Genomic DNA, 20,540 nt, shown 5'->3' with positions numbered 1-20,540 from the left:
ACATGAATCTTCAGGAATGATTAGGCAAACATATACAAAGCAGGGCAATTCATTTAGTTATTAAGTTGGAAAATACTGTAGCTATGAATAATCCACCAATAAGGAATTTTGGTCAATTTTGCTAGGTACACATGAAAGGGTACATGTGGTAGAAAAAAGTCAAAATACATGTTATGGTCTCAGAACAATGAGAAATTCATGAGGATTTTGTAAGAATGTCAGCACACCGAGAGGACACGCAGACACAGATGCGTGCAAATCTGTATGTCCATGGAGACAGTGGCCTACAAGGCTGCACACTGCCCACCACCATCATTGCTGCCACCTCTGCAGCCCCCTGCCAACCTTGACTGAAAGTTACCTGCTGTCCTTCTTCTGTGCAGCTGGGAACCCCCCTTATCTGCAGTTTCCTGTGAGGCTGCTCTCACCCTGTGATGCAAGGTGGCCATGAGCCAGCCACTGTGAATTTGTGATCCAGTGATCCAACCTACATCTGCAAAATGGCTGAGGGGACAGAAACTTCTCTGCCCTTCCCCACCCTTGCCCCTCCCCAACACCAACCCCTCCTGGTAATGCTACTGCTCCTTCCCATCAAACAAGGACTATTCTTACTTGTTCCAACTGTCTTCCTTGTCAGTAGATCTCATGGATTGTGAGTAACACTTAAAAGAAGAAAAGGCATTCGAACTCCTCCCCACAGAAGGCAGTCCGCAGGGAGCAGCCTCTGCATCACTTCCAGAGCTGTCCTCCCTCCCCTGCTCAGGCCCTTTATGGTCTGTCCTTCCTGCTCCTGCCTCCTCATATATTATTCATCCCAGCGATCCTTCCAACCCACTGCCCTTATCTCATGCCCTGAACTGTGCCAGACACACTGTTTCCTCTTCCCTTTACCTCCCCTGTCTGGTGGATCCCCTGCCCCTCACTCTTCAGCATCTCCTCCAATGCTCCTCCTCCTGAAGGCCCCCCTTGTCCATCCCATCCCAGGCCTGATGCCTGTCCCCTGAGTTCCTAAGGGCAGCTCTTGCACTTGCAGTTTAGTTTCTGTTAAGTTTTCTGAATCCTCACTCGTCTTAAACACCTGAGAATTTGGAAACTTTGTCTATGTTGTTCCCCTGTGAGCCCCACACATGCAGTGGACAAACAGCAACACAGAAGATTTTGTTTTTTTGTTGTGTTTCACTAATGAATCAGTGACTCTCCTTCCCCAAATGCTTGCCTACTTCCCTAGACACTCCATCTCTCTTTCAATCTGAAGAGGATTTGTGCCTGAAGATGAACCTGTTTCTTGTGCTCTCTTCTGTTCTCAGGTCAGGATGTGAGCCCTGATTCTGCCCAGCCTTTTTGCCAGCCTCCCCACCCTCAATCCACTGCAGAGCCCCTCTCATGGGCCATGCTGCTTCTACCTCATCTGTCCCTCTTCTGTTCTTCTGGACAGTTTTGTCCTTGCAGACCTAGGAAAAGTATTTTGTTCTCTAAAATTCGCTTACATTAATATGGTTCCCTTGATAAATATTTCCAATGTTGTTCTCATATTTCATCATTTCTAGTCTATTTTATTTCAAATTTTATTACAATAGCGTTAGCCTAGTGGTAGCCATGACATGCTTTTCATTGTTTGCATGAACTTGCGCTGCAACCCGCTGTCATTTCTTACAGGATCGCCTGCAGCAACACTTACAGAACAGGTGTGAACAGGAATGGTGCAAATTGCACAGAAAATGCTGCAGCCTCTTTTTTAAGAAATGTTTTATTGCCATCAGTCTTCCTGCCACACAGTGCGATTAAGATATCCAAGATTCTGCATTAAAGTCTGGTTTAGAACTATCATAAGCACAATTTCAAGATATCTATTGATTTACTTATGAATTAATTTCAAGATTGTTTATATTTTGATGTGACTAAAACTTATGCTTTTATAACTATGGAAGGGCTTTTAAAATAAATATTAAATCGACTCTTATGTGTTTATTAGTCATGGCTCTCAAAATGATATTTTATTCTGTCAAGGAAAGACAACATATAGGAGGGTACTCTCATAAGGTTATAATTGACCTGAGAACTTCCTATCACCTAGAGATGTCAAAGCTGTCACGATGCCATAGCACAATTACTTTAGTTTTTAATAAATTAAGTGTAGCCTTAGTTTACAGTGTTTCTAAAGTCTGCAGTAGCATACAGTAATGTCCTAGGTCTTCACATTCACTCACCACTCACTCACTGACTCACCCAGAAGAACTTCCAGTCCTGCAAGCTCCAGGCATGGCAACTGCCCTATACAACTGAACAATATTTTTTGTTTTATACCATCTTTTTATGTTTTCTATGTTTAGATAGGTTACATGTTTAAATACTTATCATTGTGTTACAATTGCTTATAGTATTCAGGACAGTCACATGCTTATAGGCTTATAGCTTGGGAGCAATAGTAAGTACCATGTAGCCTGGATGTGTAGTAGGCTATGCCTTCTAGGTTTGTGTAATGCTCTCCATGTTTGCACAGAGATGAAATCACCAAACAATGCATTTCTCAGAAGGTATTTCCATGATTAAGCAATGCATCACTGTACTTTGACAGAGATATTATCCTTTTATTTATTTATGCTTTTGAGATGGGGTCTCACTCTGTTGCCCAGGCTAGAGTGCAGTGGCACAATCTCAGCTCAATGCAACCTCCACCTCCCAGGTTCAAGCAATTCTTGTGTGCCCTTTGCACTGCACAGCCACCCTGCAACAACCCCAAGGATGAAGGGCAGCCCATTAGAGATGAAGGAAATGGGTATAATAGGTTGAACCACCTCACCTCAACCCAATCCCTGCATTTCCTATGATTTGTTGTTATTTGTGGCTGGTAAACTTATTACATTTTATAATATATGGGCTTCCTCACTTGCTATGATTCAACTTAAAATTTTTAAATTAAATAAAAGCAATACACATTAATGGAAACTATACTTTGAGTGTCCAATCTTTCTGTTTTTCTGTTTCAGTACAGTATTCAATAAATTGCATGAGATATTCAACACTTTATGATAAAATAGGCTTTGTGTGGATGATCTTCCCAAACGTTAGGCTAATATAAGTGTTTTGAGCACACTTAAGGATGATAGGCTAGGCTGTGATTTTAACTAAGTTAGGTATATTCAATGCATTTTCGACTGATGACATTTTTAACTTGTGATGGGTTTATCTGGAAGTAACCTCATCATAAATCAAAAGCATCTGTAATTTAAATGGAGCTTTGTATTTATAAATGAACAACACAATTCTCATTAAAATAAGTAGAAACTAGTAAGTCTTATCTCCTCCATTTGTTTCCCACAAAACTTCCAGTTTCCTTTAAATTTGGGAATCACCTTATCTCTTTTCTTCACTAAATAAATACCAGTTTGTATCAAGTTGCTCTCCATATGCAAGAAAATTAAAGTTAATGGTGTCAGATCATAATACAATAAAAGAATGAAAGAGGTAATTTTAAAAATTTGATTATTCATTTATTTATTTTTATTAAGGTCTGCCCTTGACATTCTCTGTATGGAGGACTGAAATCCAGAGCCCCTGATTGCAGCATTGCTTGGCAAACAAATGTCCATCTGTCAGAGGCATGTGAACCAGAGCAACTCCATCTTGAATAGGGCTGGGTAAAATGAGGATGAGACCTACTGGGCTGCATTCCCAGATGGTTAAGGCATTTTAAGTCACATCAGGAGACTGGCACAAGATACAGGTCATAAAGATCTTGCTGATAAAACAGGCTGCAGTAAAGAGGCCGGCTAAAATCCACCAAAACCATGATGGTGACGAGAGTGACCTCTGGTCGTCCTCAGTGCTACATCCCTCCAGCACCACGACAGTTTACAAATGCCATGGCAACATCAGAAAGTTACTTTATATGGTCTAAAAAGGGGAGGCATGGATAATCCACCCTTGGTTTAGCATATAATCAATAAATAACCATGAAAATGGGAATCCAGCAGCCCACAGGGCTGCTCTGTCTATGGAGTAACCATTCTTTTTCTGCTTTACTTTCTTAGTAAGCTTGCTTTCACTTTACTCTGCAGACTGGCCCTGAATATCGGCAACCCTCTCTTGGGGTCTGGATCAGGACCCTTTTCCTGTAACACATCTATTAATTTGGAATAAAAATATCCATAAAGTATCAATGCTGTTAGTCTGTTGGTTTCTCACATCTTATACATCTTTAACAAATGCCCCTGGAATTGTTTTTATTCCATTAGACTGAGGATTTCATTACTTGTATGAAATTTGCTAGTGAGTCTCAGGGACTCATCCTGCAGGAATGCTTCCTTCACTAGAGAATGCGTTCCTCTAGTGGAATACAATCTTGTTGGCATTTGTACAATTTATAATACAGGCCCTAAATCAATCCTGGTCTACTTTTTTTTTTGGATTGAATGGTTGGGAATAATGCTCAAAATCCTAAGGGAGATTGAACACTCAAACAAAGGATTCTTAGCAAAGCAATTTTACTTCTGCGCAGAGGGGTGCTTCTCCTTGGCCAGTCGCCATGAAAGCACACCAGAACAAAGGGGCACAAGAGTCTTTATTCCTGCCCCAAGTCCTGCCCCTGTACCCTTTTCCCATTGGTGGAGGTCAGGTCGCACAGTCTGAACTAATCCTGGTTGGCTAGACAATTGAACTTTCTTTAGATAAGGTGGGCACATAAGGGAGAGAGGGGAAAAGGGGAAGGGGTGTCTGCAATGAGCTAGAGAGCTAGTCTCCTTTCCAAATAAGGAAAGGAATGTGAGCTGGTACTGATAAGCCTGCTACTGTGGCATGTCCGGGCATGCAACAAAGGCAGAAAGAAAAAAGAGAAAAAGGAAAAGGGGGTGGGGGTTACTATTAATTAAAGAATAAACGATTGATCAGGCTATTTGAAGAGAAGCCTCATCATACCCCACAGAGTCTTTCTCTGTCACCCAGACTGGAGTGCAGTGGCTCGATGTTGACTCACTGCAACCTCAGCCTCCCAAGTTCAAGCAATTCTCCTGCCTCAGCCTCCCGAGTAGCTGGGATTACAGGTGCATATCAGCATGCCCGGCTAATTTTTGTATTTTTTTTTTTTAAGTAGACAGGGTTTCACCATGTTGTCCAGGCTAGTATCAAACTCCTGGCCTTATGATCCACCCGCCTTAGCCTCCCAAAGTGCTGGGATTACAGGTGTGACCACTGTGCCAGGCTCCTGGTTTACTTTTTGGAGCCCTAAATTGTTTCTTCAGGAGGAAATCCATGTTCAATTCAGGTTGAGGAATTCCATTTTCACTACCCAGGACACTAAGCCATCAATTTGAAACCATCTTTGCAAAAAATCATAACTGAGAAAATTATTACAGTGAAAGAGATCTGACCTAACTGACTCCATCTTGCTTCTAACCTCCAAGCTGCCCTTGTTCATTCCCCGCGAACTTCAGGAGGAATTCGGTTTATAGTTTAGCTTTTAAATGAAGACAGTAACAGCCCTTTCCCAAAACAACCCCCCTCCATCATGCCTTTGTAGGAATAACAAATCAGCTACAAGATTAAAAATTACGGTTTAGGATTCATCCAGCTGGAGACTGCAGGACTCTAAACTGCCTCAAACTGCTCCTGGGGATAACATCACTATTGTGAAACCTAAGCTCAGTCAGTGCTTGAGATCTATTGCAGGCCCTGCTCCCGATGGATCAGCTGATACCACCCAGATCAATAAACTGACTCATCTGATCTTATGGCCCCAACCGGGGAACTGACTCAGCGCAAGAGGACAGCTTCCACTCCCTATGATTTCATCTCCAACATGACCAATCAGCACTCCCCACTTTCCGACCCCCTACCCACCAAATTATTCTTAGAAACCCCTGATCCCCCTACAGGGAGATTGATTTGAGTAATAATAAAACTATGGTCTCCTGCACAGCCGGCTCTGGGTGAATTCTTGCTTCTCTATTATAGTTCCCTTGTCTTGATAAATCGGCTCTGTCTAGACAGCTGGCAAGGTGAATCCCTTGGGTGGTTACAAATTCACATAAAAACTACCTCAGAGGAGTGTCAAAGGTTGAGCCTAAACAATAGACATCGACCCAGATGACCAATACAAAGGTGTTAAATTATTGACAGAGTAAAAAAAAAATTCCCAAATACTCACAAGCATGAAAACTTAAAAAATGCTAACTAATAACAGAAAATCAATAAGGACTGTAATTTCCTTATTACAAGATCAGATTATAAAACTATATGCTACCTGGATATGGATGACAACATTTTCTGAATGATATTTTTGATTCACTGAAAACATAAAAAAAACCCAAAATATTAATCATTCATCAAATAGTAAGAAAAAAATATATATCTATATCATTGGTTATCTGTGCAAACATCATGCCGACAATTACAAAAGCAAGTTGGGAAAAAAATCAAAGACTCTAGCCAATGTCTACAGTTTTGGGGTAAGGAGAAAAGCAAACAACATGACGACATTCCTATTTGCGCAGTGCAGTGACTGTCTCTACATTTAGAATGGGAGTCGCAATGTTCTGTCTACACAAATTAATTCTTTGTCTACCTTTTACAATTAGAACAAGCTAAACAATATAATGCAAATAATCACAGCCTTTATTAAAGCATGCGATTCTGAGCATATGTGATCTTGTGCCTCACATAAAATTTTGTTCCTCTCCTTTTCAACCAGAGATGTTTCATAGGAAATTTCTCGACAACACTAAAAACCGCGTGACATCTGCTTTTCCTAATAAAAGTAATATTTCCATTGCACTGGTAAAGAATGATCATGGAAAAGATGAAAATAACTGACAAGATATTTTGAAAAAGTGATTATGAATGTATTTTTAAATACAAAAACGAAAGTTGTTAATACAGAATGCGAACATGCGAAGTTGGTTTTAGATGATGTTTATGTGAAATTATAAAAAAGAAAACTGCATACAAGTATTAAAGATATTTGGACCTTAAAACAAAAACACAAAAGCAAGAATGAATATTACCAGGAAAGCCTGAAGCTGTTAAGTGTTCTTGATCAGCAAGCAGAATGACTGGAGAGAAAAGCCTTTCTTATGCAAAAGAACTGCATTCCTCAAACAGCTCCAGAGGGAAGACAGGGGGCGGCTGGCCTTGCCACTGCAGACCCCACAGAAGGCTCTGAGCTCAGCTGCAGTGGATGTGGCCCCGCCCTTGGTGGGCGTGGTCTGCAGCAGGACGACCGCATTCATGGTACAACTGCGCTTGCGCAAGAAGGATGTCTGCAGGGGTTTCTGCCACCTCTGGTGGTTGCTGGGTGGGTAGAAAATCCCAAAGGCTTCAGAAGGAGGGAATCCTAATGAGGAGTGTTGACATCTCATAAAATCCACCAAGAATGGACTAAGCAAATAAAGCAGGGAATGATGTTGTGGGGGTTGTCTAAGATTCACAAGAACATTAAAGACCTAAGTGTCATCAGTAATAGTGAGTTCTAAATTCTGCTCTTTATTCAAGGGACAACTGAGAATATTGGTGTAGGTTCAAGGCATAGAGGTTTTCACTCTTTCTTCTTTATATAATAGCACACTTGGCTAAGAGAAGGCCCTAGAGAGAAAATTCTGTGTTAAATGAAGTGTCTTACTAAAATAGTGTGATATTTTCACAGAGAAATAAACCAATGGAAAAAAAAAGGAGAGAGCAAATCAGACACAAGCATATATACACAAATAATTTATAAGATTAATTGGGGAAATGTGAATTTTTCTATAAATATTTCAAGAAATATATCCACAGGGAAAAATAAAATCTGATCTATAACCTCACATTACACATAAAATCATTCCTAGGTGGATCTTAGACCTAAATATTAAATCAATTTAACACAGGATTTACATCTAATTTGGGAACATGACTTCCGGGGTAGAATACCTTTTTTTTTTTTTTTTTTTTTTTGAGACAGATTCTCGCTCTGTTGCCCAGGCTGGAGTGCAATGGTGCAATCTTGGCTCACTGCAACCTCCTCCTCCTGAGTTCAAGCAATTCTCCTGCCTCAGCTTCCTGAGTAGCTGGGATTACAGGTGCCCGCCAGCATGCCTGGATAATTTTTTTGTATTTTTAGTAGAGACGGTATTTTGCCACATTGGCCAGGCTGGTCTCAAACTTCTGACCTCACGTGATCTGCCTGCCTCAACCTCCCAAAATGCTGGTATTACAGGCATGAGCCACTGCGCCTGGCCCTAGAGTAACATTTCTTAATCCGGTCCTAGAATGTGTTTTCCATACAAAAAAAGATATTCTAAAACACGTGATGTAAGTAAAGACTTCAAAGATAGACTCAGTCAAAATCAAGTTTCATCCATTCCTTTCTTGTAGGGCTTTAGATCAAATTCACTAGGTGATTGGGAGTAAAACTAGTGCCGACCTCTTGAGATGCTGTGAGGATGAAATGAACTAATAATCCATAAAACCTGTAGATTAATATCATCTATACAAATGAATGTAGTATTTGCTGATACTGACATAAATAGTAATTGCAAAATAAATTATTCACATCAATTATAGGTTGCATCATTACTTTACATTTCACAATGGAGAATAAAACCACTGACAAATCAGATAATTATGTATTTGGCTGTAAAATAAGATTTAAAAAAGTGTACCCTGAAAGGCACAATGTAAACATCCATGAACAAATCTTCTAGAGGCTTCTTGAGCAGCACTAGAATTTTTTTTTTTTTTTTGAGACGGAGTCTCGCTCTGTCACCCAGGCTGGAGTGCAGTGGCACAATCTCGGCTCGCTGCAACCTCTGCTTCCCAAGTTCAAGTGATTCTCCTGCCTCAGCCTCCCGAGTATGGTGATGGGACTGCAGGTGCCCATCACCACACCCAGCTAAATTTGTGTTTTTAGTAGAGATGGGGTTTCACCATGTTGCCCAAAGGTCTTGAACTCCTGAGCTCAAGCATTCCACCCACCTCAACCTCAAGTGCTGGGATTACAGGTGTGAGCCACAGCTCCTGGCCAACTGGGCTAGAATTAATAGTCGCTGTGTTAAAGAGAAACCTCAAGAATGAACTAGAAATAACAAAAGTACAACAAATGTGGAGAGGTGATGTATATGCTATGTTTCAATAAATCTATTGAGAAGGAAGATAGAAATGGCAAACAGTCACTTTGCTACTTCTTCATTGGATGGGTAGCTTTCTTCAGAGTTAAAGTTGTACACTGAGAATTTCTGTTCTAAGAAATATGAGCAATCAACCCAAAAAGTTGTATTCCAAACCTAATACTTTAATTCACAACAGTTCTCTATCTAATTCGTTCTCCATTTGTCTTCCTTATCATATAGAGGGTGATCTACATGATCACATATAAAGGTGGCCCTTTATGGCCATTTTTTGCAGAAATAAATGCATTATTGTTTTTAAAAATGGTTTTGGTATGTTCTTGCTATGGTTTGAATTTTTGTCCCCTACAGTTAGTGGAAACTAACTGCCACTGTAGCAGTATTAAAAGGTGGGGCTGTTAAAAGGTAATTAGGCCTTGAGGGCTTTAGCCTCATAAACGGATTCATGCCATTATACTAGGAGTGTGTATACGAAAATGATATAGTAGCCAATTAAAAGACCTTCCAATAGCCAAGAGTAGAAAATTTTGAACAACAAAATAAACTAGTAAAATGTAAGTGTAAAATAAAGATCCATGTTTGCATATTGATATAAATAAATGAGTGAAAAAATATATAAAACAAATGGAGGAAAACTGACACATTTCACATGTTGAAGGATTCCAAATTATTTTTGCAGATACTCTTCCCATAAAGAGGTGAAGAATGACTTCCCACTTCTTACTAAGCCTAATGACTTCTTTTCAAAAGTACAACACAGGAAGTGTAACAAATAGCAATTTAACAGTGGAAGAATCTGATAAGAAGTAATTCAAATAGGTAATCAAATTAAGGTCAACATGATATGACATGCTATTAGTATGTAACATTGGTATGATGTGATAAGAATGGCAATTTCCCTGTGTAGTCCTCCTTTTGAAAACCTATGGCTGGGCACGGTGGCTCACGCCTGTAATCCCAGCACTTTGGGAGGCCGAGGTGGGCAGATCACGAGGTCAGGAGATTGAGACCAGCCTGGCTAACACGGTGAAACCCCGTCTCCACTAAAAATACGAAAAATTAGCTGGGCGTGGTGGCGGGCGCCTGTAGTCCCAGCTACTTGGGAGACTGAGGCAGGAGAATGGCGTGAACCTGGGAGGCGGAGCTTGCAGCAAGCCGAGATCGCGTCACTGCACTCCAGCCTGGGCAACAGAACGAGAGTCATCTCAAAAAAAAAAAAAATCAGACAACTTCCTAATGAAGTATGTCAATGTCATGAAAGACCAGGAAAGTTGAAGGAAGTGTCAACAGCTTATGAAGCATAAAGAGGAATGACATCTAAATATGATGTGTCATCCTGGATGGGATTCCAGAATCAAAAAATGGACATTAAGTGAAATTAAGGACATGTGAATAAAGCATGGATAGCAGTGAATGATAATGTTTAACATTGGTTCTTAATTGTAACAAGCGTAACACACTAATGTTAAGATTTATAATAAGGAAAACTGTGTGTGGTATATGTAAACTCTTTATATTACCAATTTGTTCTGTGAGTCTAACACTATTCTAAACAGAACAAGTTTTCTAAAAGCACTGTCAAGCTTAACAGACCATTAGCAATATATTTGGAATTCCCTATTTGTCATTACCTGATTTTTAAAAATTATTTTTCTCTGTTATTTTTTCTTTTCTCTCTTTTTTGTTGAGATATGGTCTCACTCTCTTGCCCAGGTTGGAGCGCTATGGCACAATCACAGCTCAGTGAACCTTGACCTCCCAAGCTCAGGCCACCCTCCCAATCCTCCCACCTCAGCCTCCCGAGTAGCTGAGACTGCAGACATATGCTGCAACACCTAGCTAATTTTTTGCATTTTTTTTAGAAACAGCGTTCTGCCATGTTGCCCAGATTGGTCTTGAATTGCTGAATTGCTGGATTCAATTAATCTGCCCACCTTCACCTCCCAAAGTGTTGGGATTATAGGCATAAGCCACTGCGTCCAGCCCTATGTTAATACTTCTAACTAATATGTTATTCTGTTTTTCTTGTTTTCTAATTTGGAAAAATATGTTTAATTTACACATTGTTTCTAGTCTAATTATGAGAAACCATCAGACAAATACACATTGTGGGACATTCCACAAGATATCTGACTGGTATTTTCACAAGGGTCAAAGTCATGAAATATAAGTGGTGACTGAGAAACTTTTGCAGAATGAAGAAGACCTGATTTGGCAGGTAGACCCTATGATGATGCCCAATGATCGCCTAAGTTTCCATCTTAGGAACCTAGAAAAAGAAGAGCAAATTAAATTTCAAGTAAGCAGAAGAAAAGATATAATATTGTAAAGACAGGATACACGAAATAAAACACAAAACAACTGGATTTTTCAAATGTGTGTTGATAGGTTTATAGTTTGCTGAACACTGGAGTATCCAACATTAACAGGGAAAACACAACACCCCAAGCATACACCTTACTTAAGAACATGTAGTTGTGACATCCATGAAATGAGGAGACACTAATCTTCATAAATGATCAACGAAGAAAAACTAAAGTGTGATAATTTCATTTGTTTACCAAGCTGACAACATTTTAACTATGACTAATCCACCATTAAGTAATTTATGTAAGTAACTTTTTCTATGATATAATGTAAAAGTCATATGTGATAGAATAAAGTTACAATACATGTCATCATCTGAGACGCACAAAATAACCGAGGGGAAAGGAACCTGCATTCAGGGTGGGATGGGGCGAGTCTCAGTGATGGAGAAAGGGACATGAACAGGAGCATCCAAGTTCCCTTAGTTGGCCCGTACTGGATCTGGAGGGTCCTCTCTGTTCCTCTTCACTCTCCCTTCTTCCTAGAACCAATTCCTCATAATGCACAGGGACCTCCTCAGACACAGAGGCTATCCTCACTCTTCTTGACCTGGAGGTACTGTTGCAAGGAACGAGACTGATATTTGAACTACCAGCACAACAAATGCATTCCTTAGTGGGCTGGCCGGCCCTGTGTCACTTCCTGACCTGCCCACTCTCCCCTTCACAGCCTCTCCATGGTCTGCCCTTCCCGCTCCTGCCCTCCTTACATGTTGCTAATCCCAGCAGTCCTTCTAATCCACTGTCCCCTTCTCATGCCCTGGCCTGTGCCACAGACACATTTTTTCCTCTTCTCTTTCTCCTGTTTGCCAGATTCACTGCTCCACGCTCTCCAGAACCTCCTCCAATGTTCCTCCTCCTAGAGGCCTTCCTTGTCCATTCCATTTCAGGTCTGATGCCTGTGCTCTCAGCTCCCAAAAGTTTTGTAACCCAAAACTCCTACATTTGAGATTTGGGTTACAGTCCTTGAATCACTACTGGACTGAAATATCAGAGGTTATTTTGTCCATGTTGTTCACCTATGAGCCCCAAACATGCACTGGGCAAAACCCAAAACAGAATATTTTCCTTTATTTTAAATTTCACAAATTATTTAATGAATCTCTAAAACTTCCCCCCACCAGCCTGGGCAACAAAGTGAGACACGTCTTTACAAAAAAATAAAATAGGCAGGGCTTGGTGGCATATGCCTGTGGTCCCAGCTACATGGGAGGCTGAGGTAGGATAACTGCTAGGGCCCAGGAGGTAGAGGCTGCAGTGAACAGTGTATATGCCACTGCACTCCAGCCTGGGCAACAAAATAAGACCCTGTTTCAAAAAAAGAAAACAAAAAAAAAATAAAAACTCCTCACAGATATGGTTTCCTAATAAACTTAAATTTTCTTTCAAAGTGAAGAATGTGTGAATCTGAAGATGAACATGGTTCTTTTGCTCCCTTTTGCTTTTAGGACAGGAGTGAGCCCTGACTTCCCCCTCAGCCTCTTCTCCAGCCTCCCTATTCTCAATCCACCACAAAGATGAACACATAGACCAGGCTCCTTCTACCTCATCTGTACTTTTTTTCTGGACAGTTTTGCTCCCTTGATGAAGGAAGATGTTCTTGTTTCATAGATTCAGCTCCATTAATAGAGCTCCCTTAGGCCGGGTGCAGTGGCTCACGCCTGTAATTCCAGTACATTGGGAGGCCAAGGCGGGTGGATCACCTGAGGTCAAGAGTTTGAGACCAGCCTGGCCAAAAAACATGGTGAAACCCCGTCTCTACTAAAAATGCAAAAATTAGCTGGGTGTGGTGGCAGCCGCCTGTAATCCCAGCTACTCAGGAGGCTGAGGCAGGAGAAATGCTTGAACCTGGGTCAGGGAGGTTGCAGAGAGCCGAGATCGTGCCACTGCACTCCAGCCTGGACAACAAAGAGAGACTCCGTCTCAGACAAAAAAAAAAATTGGACCTCCCTTGATAATTCTGTATCGTTATTAGTTATCATATTTGAATAATTTTTAAAAATTATTTTGTCAAGTGTTGTTACAATCACTATTAGCCTGTTGGCAGCCATGACATGGCTTTCATTGTTTGCACTTGTTTTGCAACCTTCTGCTGTTTCCTTCTGGTAACATCACTTACATCAAAACATGCAGAATGGTGTCAGCAAGAAAGGTGGAAATCACACAGACAGTGGTCCAGCCTTGTTTTCTAAGAAATGCTTCATTACCATCTCTGTTCATGCCACAGAGGGTGGTGTGAAGACATCGATGACTCTGAATCAAAATCTAATTTGGAAAAATCAGAATTGGAATTTCAAGATATTTGCAAATTCACTTATGAATTACGTTCATTATTGCCTTCATTTTCATAACAAGTAAATCTTATGCCTTTATAATTTTACGAGGATTTTTTCAATAAGTATAAAATAAGGCAATTATGCGTATAGTCGTTTGACACAGATCTATTTGCATTTAGATCAATCTTAAATCTTTGATTCACTAACTTTCAGTGGATGGCCCTCATCCAGACTCCCACAGGTACTGTGCATAGGTCAATTCTGACCTGTTCTGAGAGGCCCCAACTAAATCTGGGTCCTAGTAACAGAGCAGCTAGCAGCCCTCCAATACTAGGAAATGAAGGGGAGGTGGACATAGTTGTTCACAGCGTGTCTCTTTCAGGTTACTTCTTTTACCTAGCTGACACTCTAACACCTGTGTCTGACCTGGGACCAGGTGTCCATCTCACAGGAAACATATACTGGCAGATGACTTTCTGGCTGTTGTCTGACCTGTGTCCCGTTTATTCCTGTGTGATCACCACTGTGGCACTGGAAACCAGATCCTGTATTCTCCCAGTGTCCTAGGGAAAACTAAGCCTTTAGTAGACCTTTCTTCTTCAAATGGAAGGCACACATTTAATCTGATTAGTAAAATAATTTTGTAATTGTATGATCAGTTGTAAAGTGATGGATGAGGTGATGGAATAAGGGAAGTAAGGATACACAGAAAAGCATGACCTAGCCACTGTTTTAAAACATAGTAGAGGCCGAGCGCGGTGGCTCACGCCTGTAATCCCAGCACTTTGGGAGGCTGAGGCGGGTGGATCACGAAGTCAGGAAATCAAGACCATCCTGGCCAACATGGTGAAACCCCATCTCTACTAAAAATACAAAAATTAGCTGGGCGTGGTGGCATGTGCCGGTAATCCCAGCTACCCGGGAGGTTGAGGCAGAATTGCTTGAACCAGGGAGTCGGCGGCAGAACTGCCTGAACCAGGGAGTCGGGGGTTGCAGTGAGCCGAGACCGCACCACTGCACTCCAGCCTGGTGACAGAGCGAGACTCCGTCTCAAAATAAAATAAAATAAAATAAAAATTAAAAAAAAAACACGTAGTAGTGAAACTTCTTTCAACCTTGTACATTTTTTCTTAAAACACGGTATTTTATAATGAAAATAGAGACTGTGGGGAAAGTTTGATCTTGAAGCCCCTACAACACCTCTCAGATTAAAGGTATGTTGGTGGAAGAGTTAAAAATAGAGAATCTTAAGGCCAATACACAAATGATTAAAGTAGTATCCGATATTTACAAAACGATAATCAGTTCAGTAAATTGAAAAATATTTCAAATTTTCAGACAAATGCCAAAAAAGACATTGAAGTTATTAATACTGAAAAGGAAGAATATAAAATCATGGTTCTTGCAATGTTTATATAACTATAAAAAGAGGTTGTAAAGAAACACCACAGTTTTTGGGAAAGAGAAACCTTAGGTTAAAACAAAGTTAATACAAGAGTAAGAAACAAGACAATGATACGAAACCTAGAGAGGAAAATTTTACGGGAAAACGCAGGTTAAAGTTTCCGCGGTATAAGCGGCTGATAAGACACTCCCAGCGGGCGCCATAACCGGAAGAGATCCGCTTGAAGCGCGGAAACGGAAATAGCAGGGGGAAAGGGCAACACCGAATCCTCCAGTCCCGCGCAGGCGCAAATAGGATCTGCCCCCGCCCCCGCCCCCGCCCCCGCCGCCGCCCCCGCCCCCACCGCCGCCCCCGCCCCCCAGCTCCGTCCTGTGACCTTCCCACAGCGCACCACGAGCTGGTTGGCCGCACCGGACAGTGGCGCATTTGCTGCGGGCCGCCCTGTGAGGTTGGAGGACCTAGGCTGTGAGGCACCGCTCAGAATCGCGGGGGACCAGGAGTCCCGGCCCTGCCACGGAGACATGAGCGAATGCACCTGACTTCTCCATCAGAGTGGAAAACGTTTTATGTAATAATAACCCATCAAGGCTTTAGTCTAAGAAATTACTCTAATCTTCTGAACTATAATGCTCCTGGAGAGTGATGTGTAGGGAAACACAAACAACTTAGGGTTTAATGTGACACTGCAACACTGCAAAGTCAGCTGAAGTCGTTTTACAGTTATATCCGAAGTATGATTGCGCTCAGGGTATCACACTCCTATACATCCGTATTTGTAAATCAATTAGCATAATGGGATTCACTTTGATATTTAACCCTTGCGTTAAATGACAGGAAAAGTGGGCATGGGCCAGGACTCGCTGAGTGTTTACTGGGAATGGTTATGGATTGCATTTCACCACTGACCCCTGCAGCAATATTATTTTATTATTTTGAGGGAGAGTCTCACTCTATCACCCAGGCTGGAGTGCAGTGGCGCGATCTCGGCTCACTACAACCTCCACCTCCTAGGTTCAAGCAATTCTCCTGCCTCAGCCTCCCAGTAGTTGGGATTACAGGCACCCGCCACCATGCCCACTAATTTTTGTATTTTTAGTAGAGACAGGGTTTCACCGTGTTACCCAGGCTGGTCTTGAACTCCTGGCCTCAAGTGATCTGCCCGCCTCGGCCTCCCAGTGTGTTGGGATTACAGGCATGAGCCACAGTGCCCGGCCAATATTTTAGTTTTTAAATAAATATAAGAAAAATCCTGCTCAAATTAAGTTTCCGGTTCCTGGGCCTCACCTTTTTTTTCCCGCCTCTTGTTATTAAGTTTGCCATGGGCCTCCCTTTCTGTTGATGCTAGGTGGCGCTGTGAGCATAGTAGTCTCATTCCTCAAACCACAGTGTAGCAGGTATTTTGAAATGCTGGTAAGGTGAAATTAAGGCATGAAAGTAACCTATGCTTGGTGCCAAAATGTCGTTTTCTAGGTAGAGGATTTCTTTTCTGACTTTGTATCTTTCGCAGGAAGGTATGACTCAATCAAGAGGAGCTTCTACCCTGAAAATACTAAAATTTTTTGTGAACACTTTTCCCAGAGTTTATGTTGTCTCTCATTTTCCTCACTTTTAACTTTTTCTTTGCCTGTACAGGGTCTGAGCCTCAATCCCGCACATTTGTTTTTTCTTTCAAATTCAAAAGACTCCCAAATTCCCATTTTAACAATTACAACAGCTGTATTCTTGAGTCGACCCCATAGTAGCTGAATAGAACCTTAGAAAACTATAAAAATCCTAACTTATTGACACAGAACAAAATTTCTTAAAAATCTAGCCCTGACATAGATTTCTAACTTCCTTCAGTGTACTGAAATTGTTACTCTCCCTGTGATGTCTCAAAAATGTTGACTTGTAGACACACCCTGGTCTCTACCTGAATACTAATCCTTCTTTTGTCTTGTCTAATTCTAATTTGCATGGTTTTCAGCTACTTTATTCAATCATAAATTACTTCCTGCAGGATTCCTTCTATGACTATTTAAATTTGGTTTGTATGCCCATGCATTTTGTGGATTTCCACAGAATAATGCACATTCCCTACTACAACCCCTCTGATTTGCATTGCCTATTTGTTCATATCTCTGCTTGACAAATGCCTCAAATAAAGGAGAAATGTTTTTCATTTATCCATCCCTCACAAGTAGCAATGTATATACCACATGGCTGCCACTAGATTTGCTTAGTTTGTAAAAATGAGTGAGTGAAAATCGGTTGACTTCCTTTATACTGATAATGAAAAATTGACTATAGAAGTTAAAATGTATTTTATAATAGCATAAAAACGTGATATACTTCGAGATAAACCTGACAAAATGTGTGCAAAATGTGTGCTCTGGGAATTAGAAAATGCTGATCAGATTGATATTCAAAAAAATCTAAATAAATATAAAGATATACCAATTTAATGGATTGGAAAGCTCAATATTAAGGATCAATTTTTTTTTTTTTTGAGACGGAGTCTCGTTCTGTCACCCCAGCTGGAGTGCAGTGGCACGATCTTGGCTTACTGCAACCTCCACTTCCCAAGTTCAAGAGATTCTCCTGCCTTAGCCTCCTGAGTAGCTGGGATTACAGGCGCTTGCCACCACGCTCGGCTAATTTTTGTATTTTTAGTAGAGACAGGGTTTCACCATGCCTTGGTCAGGCTGGTCTCAAGCTCCTGACGTCGTGATCCACCCACCTCAGCCTCCCAAAGTGCTGGGATTACAGTCTTGAGCCACCACGCCTGACCAAGGGTCAATTCTTACATATTTATCTATACATTCAGTAGAATCCTCAGCTGATTTTTTATATTTTTTTTAGAAACTGAGAAGTAGATTCCAAAATTTATGTAAGAAACTAAATAATTAGTATAGCCAAACCAATTTAGAAGAAAAGGGACAATATTGGGGGACTCACTACTTATTTCACGTTTTCTTTTCTTTTCTTTTTTTTTGAGACGGAGTTTTGCTCTTGTCGCCCAGGCTGGAGTGCAACTGCATGATCTCGGCTCACTGCAACTTCCGTCTGCCAGGTTCAAGGGATTCTCCTGCCTCAGACTCCCGAGTAGCTGGGATTACAGGCATGTGCCACCACACTCGGCTAATTTTTGTATTTTTAGTAGAGATGGGGTTTCCCCATGTTGGTCAGGCTGGTCTCGAACTCCCGACCTCAGGTGATCTGCCTGCCTTGGCCTCCCAAAGTGCCAGATTACAGGCGTGAGCCACCGCACCTGGCCATTATTTCAAGTTTAATATAATGTGGTATTAGTCAAGATAGTGTGGTATTGGTGTAAGGATAAATAGATAAATGGAACAGTATAGCAAATACATATATGTATGTATGTATAGCATATGCATATTCATATATGGATATGTATAAGGATAAATATTTAGATAACTGGAGCATTATAGCATATACATATATGGTTGGTAGGTTTTTGACTCATGTGCCACGGAAATTCAATTTTCTTGAATTGAAGAAAGGAGAGTATTTGTAGCAAAAGCTCCTAAAACAACAGAGCATTCATATGCCAAAATACAAAACAAAACTCTTCACCCTTTTTTGCACTAGATATAAAATTAATTCAAAATACCACAGATATAAATGTAAATCCTTAACACATAAAATTTCTAAGGAAAATACTGTAGGTAATCTTTATGACCTTGTGTTAAGCAATATATAATGGTAGGGAATAAATATTAAGCACAAAATTTAAAAATGGATAAATTGGCTGGGCACAGTGGCTCATGCCTGTAATCCCAGCACTTTGAGAAGCTGAGGCAGGTGGATCACCTGAGGTCAGGAGTTCAAGACCAGCCTGGCCAACATGGTGAAACCCCATCTCTACAAAAGTACAAAAATTAGCCGGGCATGATAGAGGGTGCCTGTAATCCCAGCTACTCAAGAGGCTGAGGCAGGAGAGTCGCTTCAACCCAGGAGGCGGAAGTTGCAGTGAGCCAAGACTGTGCCATTGCACTCCAGCCTGGGTGACAGAGACAGACTCTGTCTCAAAAAAAAACAACAAAAAAGGACAAATTATTCTTAGTCAAAATTAAAATAAATGCTGCTCTTTGACAGACACTGTTAAGAGAAAGACGAGATGGCACAGGCTCAGAAAAAAATATTTTCGGTACTTAACAGATGTAGGTCATATCAAAATTATACATATACATAGTTAAATTTAATAATACAACAATAAACATTTTTTGAAATGAGAAGAGTGACAGTCAAATAGTAGATATGGATGACGAACAAGTTAATGAGTTTTATTCAATGCCATTATCAGCAGGAAGATGTAAATTATTGAAACCACAGTAAGGTGCCACTATGTCCCTACTGGAATTATTAAGAGTCGATATATATACATATATACACATATATTTACTCATGCGCACACACAAACACACACACACACACACACTACAGACACACACAAACACACAGAGTCCAAACCAAGTGCTGGTAAGGATGTGGAGTAACGGGGATTCCCATATTTTCTGTTAGGATGCAAAATGATAGCCACTTTGGAAAACATTTTGGCAGTTTCTTGTAAAGTGAATCATACGTTTTTTTTTTTTTTCAAGACAGAGTCAGCTCTATCGCCCAGGCTGGAGTGCAGTGGCACCATCTCAGCTCACTGCAACCTCTGCCTCCCAGGTTCAAGCTATTCTCATGCCCTAGCCACATGAGGAGCTGGGATTACAGGCGTGTGCCACCACGCCTAGCTAAGTTTTCTGTGTGTGTGTGTGTGTGTGTGTGTGTGTTTGTGATGGAGTCTCACTCTGTCATCCAGGCTGGAGTGCAGTGGTATGATCTCGGCTCACTGCAACCTCTGCCTCGTGGGTTCAAGTGACTCTCCTGTCTCAGCTTCCTGAGTAGCTGGGATTATAGGCATGCACCACCACACCTGGAGAATTTTCTTTTGTATTTTTAGTAGAGACGGGGTTTCACCATGTTGGCCAGGCTGGTCTTGAACTCCTGATCTCAGGTGATCCGCCTGCCTCAGCCTCCCAAAGTGCTGGGATTACAGGCATGAGCCACTGCACCCGGCCAAGTTTTGTATTTTTAGTAGAGATGGGGTTTCACTATGTTGGCGAAGCTGCTCTTGAACTGTTGGCCTCAAGTGATCCTCCCATCTTGGCCTCCCAAAGTGTTGGGATTATAGGCATGAGCCACCACAACCAGCCTTCTGAATCATACTTTTGTTATATGATCCAGCATCTCAGCGCTAAGATCTATTTTCCCAAGATGAATGAAACCATATGCTTGTAGTAACCATATAATACCTCAACACAAATATCCATCAAGTTATCCATATTTATAACATTTTATATTAATAAAAATGATGAGTACTCCAGAGGCTGAGGCAGGAGAATCA

The 20,540-nt window shown here is 41.1% G+C and overlaps 1 protein-coding gene and 1 long non-coding RNA gene across 86 annotated transcripts in view, besides 7 other annotated features; both read right to left on the bottom strand.

The window, feature by feature from the left end:
* Positions 1–20,540, bottom strand: part of SNHG14 (small nucleolar RNA host gene 14) — a 595,855-nt gene that overhangs the window by 555,748 nt on the left and 19,567 nt on the right. The gene's annotated exons all lie outside the window — the stretch shown is intronic.
* SNRPN (small nuclear ribonucleoprotein polypeptide N) overlaps positions 1–20,540 on the bottom strand; it is a 155,087-nt gene that overhangs the window by 115,009 nt on the left and 19,538 nt on the right. For 32 of the 85 annotated variants that reach the window (NM_001400745.1, NM_001400712.1, NM_001400758.1 and 29 more), the window contains exon 1: positions 6,999–7,144. The exons of 51 other annotated variants lie outside the window; for them this stretch is intronic. The gene's annotated coding sequence lies outside the window, so the exon portion shown is untranslated. Of the gene's footprint in view, positions 1–612; positions 744–6,998; positions 7,145–20,540 lie in introns of those variants that run through there. 2 more of the 85 variants (NM_001400724.1, NM_001400723.1) reach the window with 1 other exon arrangement.
* Positions 634–1,363: an enhancer, noted in NCBI's record as "H3K27ac hESC enhancer chr15:25107499-25108228 (GRCh37/hg19 assembly coordinates)". NCBI's record gives its function as "activates a minimal SCP1, AML or CMV promoter by ChIP-STARR-seq in primed H9 embryonic stem cells {active_cell/tissue: H9 hESC(primed)}" and the evidence as "EXISTENCE:reporter gene assay evidence [ECO:0000049][PMID:30033119]".
* Positions 4,277–4,789: an enhancer, noted in NCBI's record as "OCT4-NANOG-H3K27ac hESC enhancer chr15:25104073-25104585 (GRCh37/hg19 assembly coordinates)". NCBI's record gives its function as "activates a minimal SCP1, AML or CMV promoter by ChIP-STARR-seq in primed H9 embryonic stem cells {active_cell/tissue: H9 hESC(primed)}" and the evidence as "EXISTENCE:reporter gene assay evidence [ECO:0000049][PMID:30033119]".
* Positions 4,790–5,303: an enhancer, noted in NCBI's record as "OCT4-NANOG-H3K27ac hESC enhancer chr15:25103559-25104072 (GRCh37/hg19 assembly coordinates)". NCBI's record gives its function as "activates a minimal SCP1, AML or CMV promoter by ChIP-STARR-seq in primed H9 embryonic stem cells {active_cell/tissue: H9 hESC(primed)}" and the evidence as "EXISTENCE:reporter gene assay evidence [ECO:0000049][PMID:30033119]".
* Positions 5,304–5,815: an enhancer, noted in NCBI's record as "NANOG-H3K27ac hESC enhancer chr15:25103047-25103558 (GRCh37/hg19 assembly coordinates)". NCBI's record gives its function as "activates a minimal SCP1, AML or CMV promoter by ChIP-STARR-seq in naive H9 embryonic stem cells {active_cell/tissue: H9 hESC(naive)}" and the evidence as "EXISTENCE:reporter gene assay evidence [ECO:0000049][PMID:30033119]".
* Positions 5,304–5,973: a biological region, named in NCBI's record as "Sharpr-MPRA regulatory region 849".
* Positions 5,679–5,973: an enhancer, noted in NCBI's record as "tiled region #849; HepG2 Activating non-DNase unmatched - State 7:EnhWF, and K562 Activating non-DNase unmatched - State 24:Quies". NCBI's record gives its function as "activates a minimal TATA promoter and a strong SV40 promoter by Sharpr-MPRA in HepG2 and K562 cells {active_cell/tissue: HepG2 | K562}" and the evidence as "EXISTENCE:reporter gene assay evidence [ECO:0000049][PMID:27701403]".
* Positions 6,843–7,356: an enhancer, noted in NCBI's record as "OCT4-NANOG-H3K27ac hESC enhancer chr15:25101506-25102019 (GRCh37/hg19 assembly coordinates)". NCBI's record gives its function as "activates a minimal SCP1, AML or CMV promoter by ChIP-STARR-seq in naive and primed H9 embryonic stem cells {active_cell/tissue: H9 hESC(naive and primed)}" and the evidence as "EXISTENCE:reporter gene assay evidence [ECO:0000049][PMID:30033119]".

Source organism: Homo sapiens, chromosome 15 (genome assembly GCF_000001405.40).
Source record: "Homo sapiens chromosome 15, GRCh38.p14 Primary Assembly".
Lineage (NCBI taxonomy): Eukaryota > Metazoa > Chordata > Mammalia > Primates > Hominidae > Homo > Homo sapiens.
The sequence above is the reverse complement of the archived record's forward strand: the minus strand, read 5'-3'. Positions and strand labels throughout refer to the sequence as shown.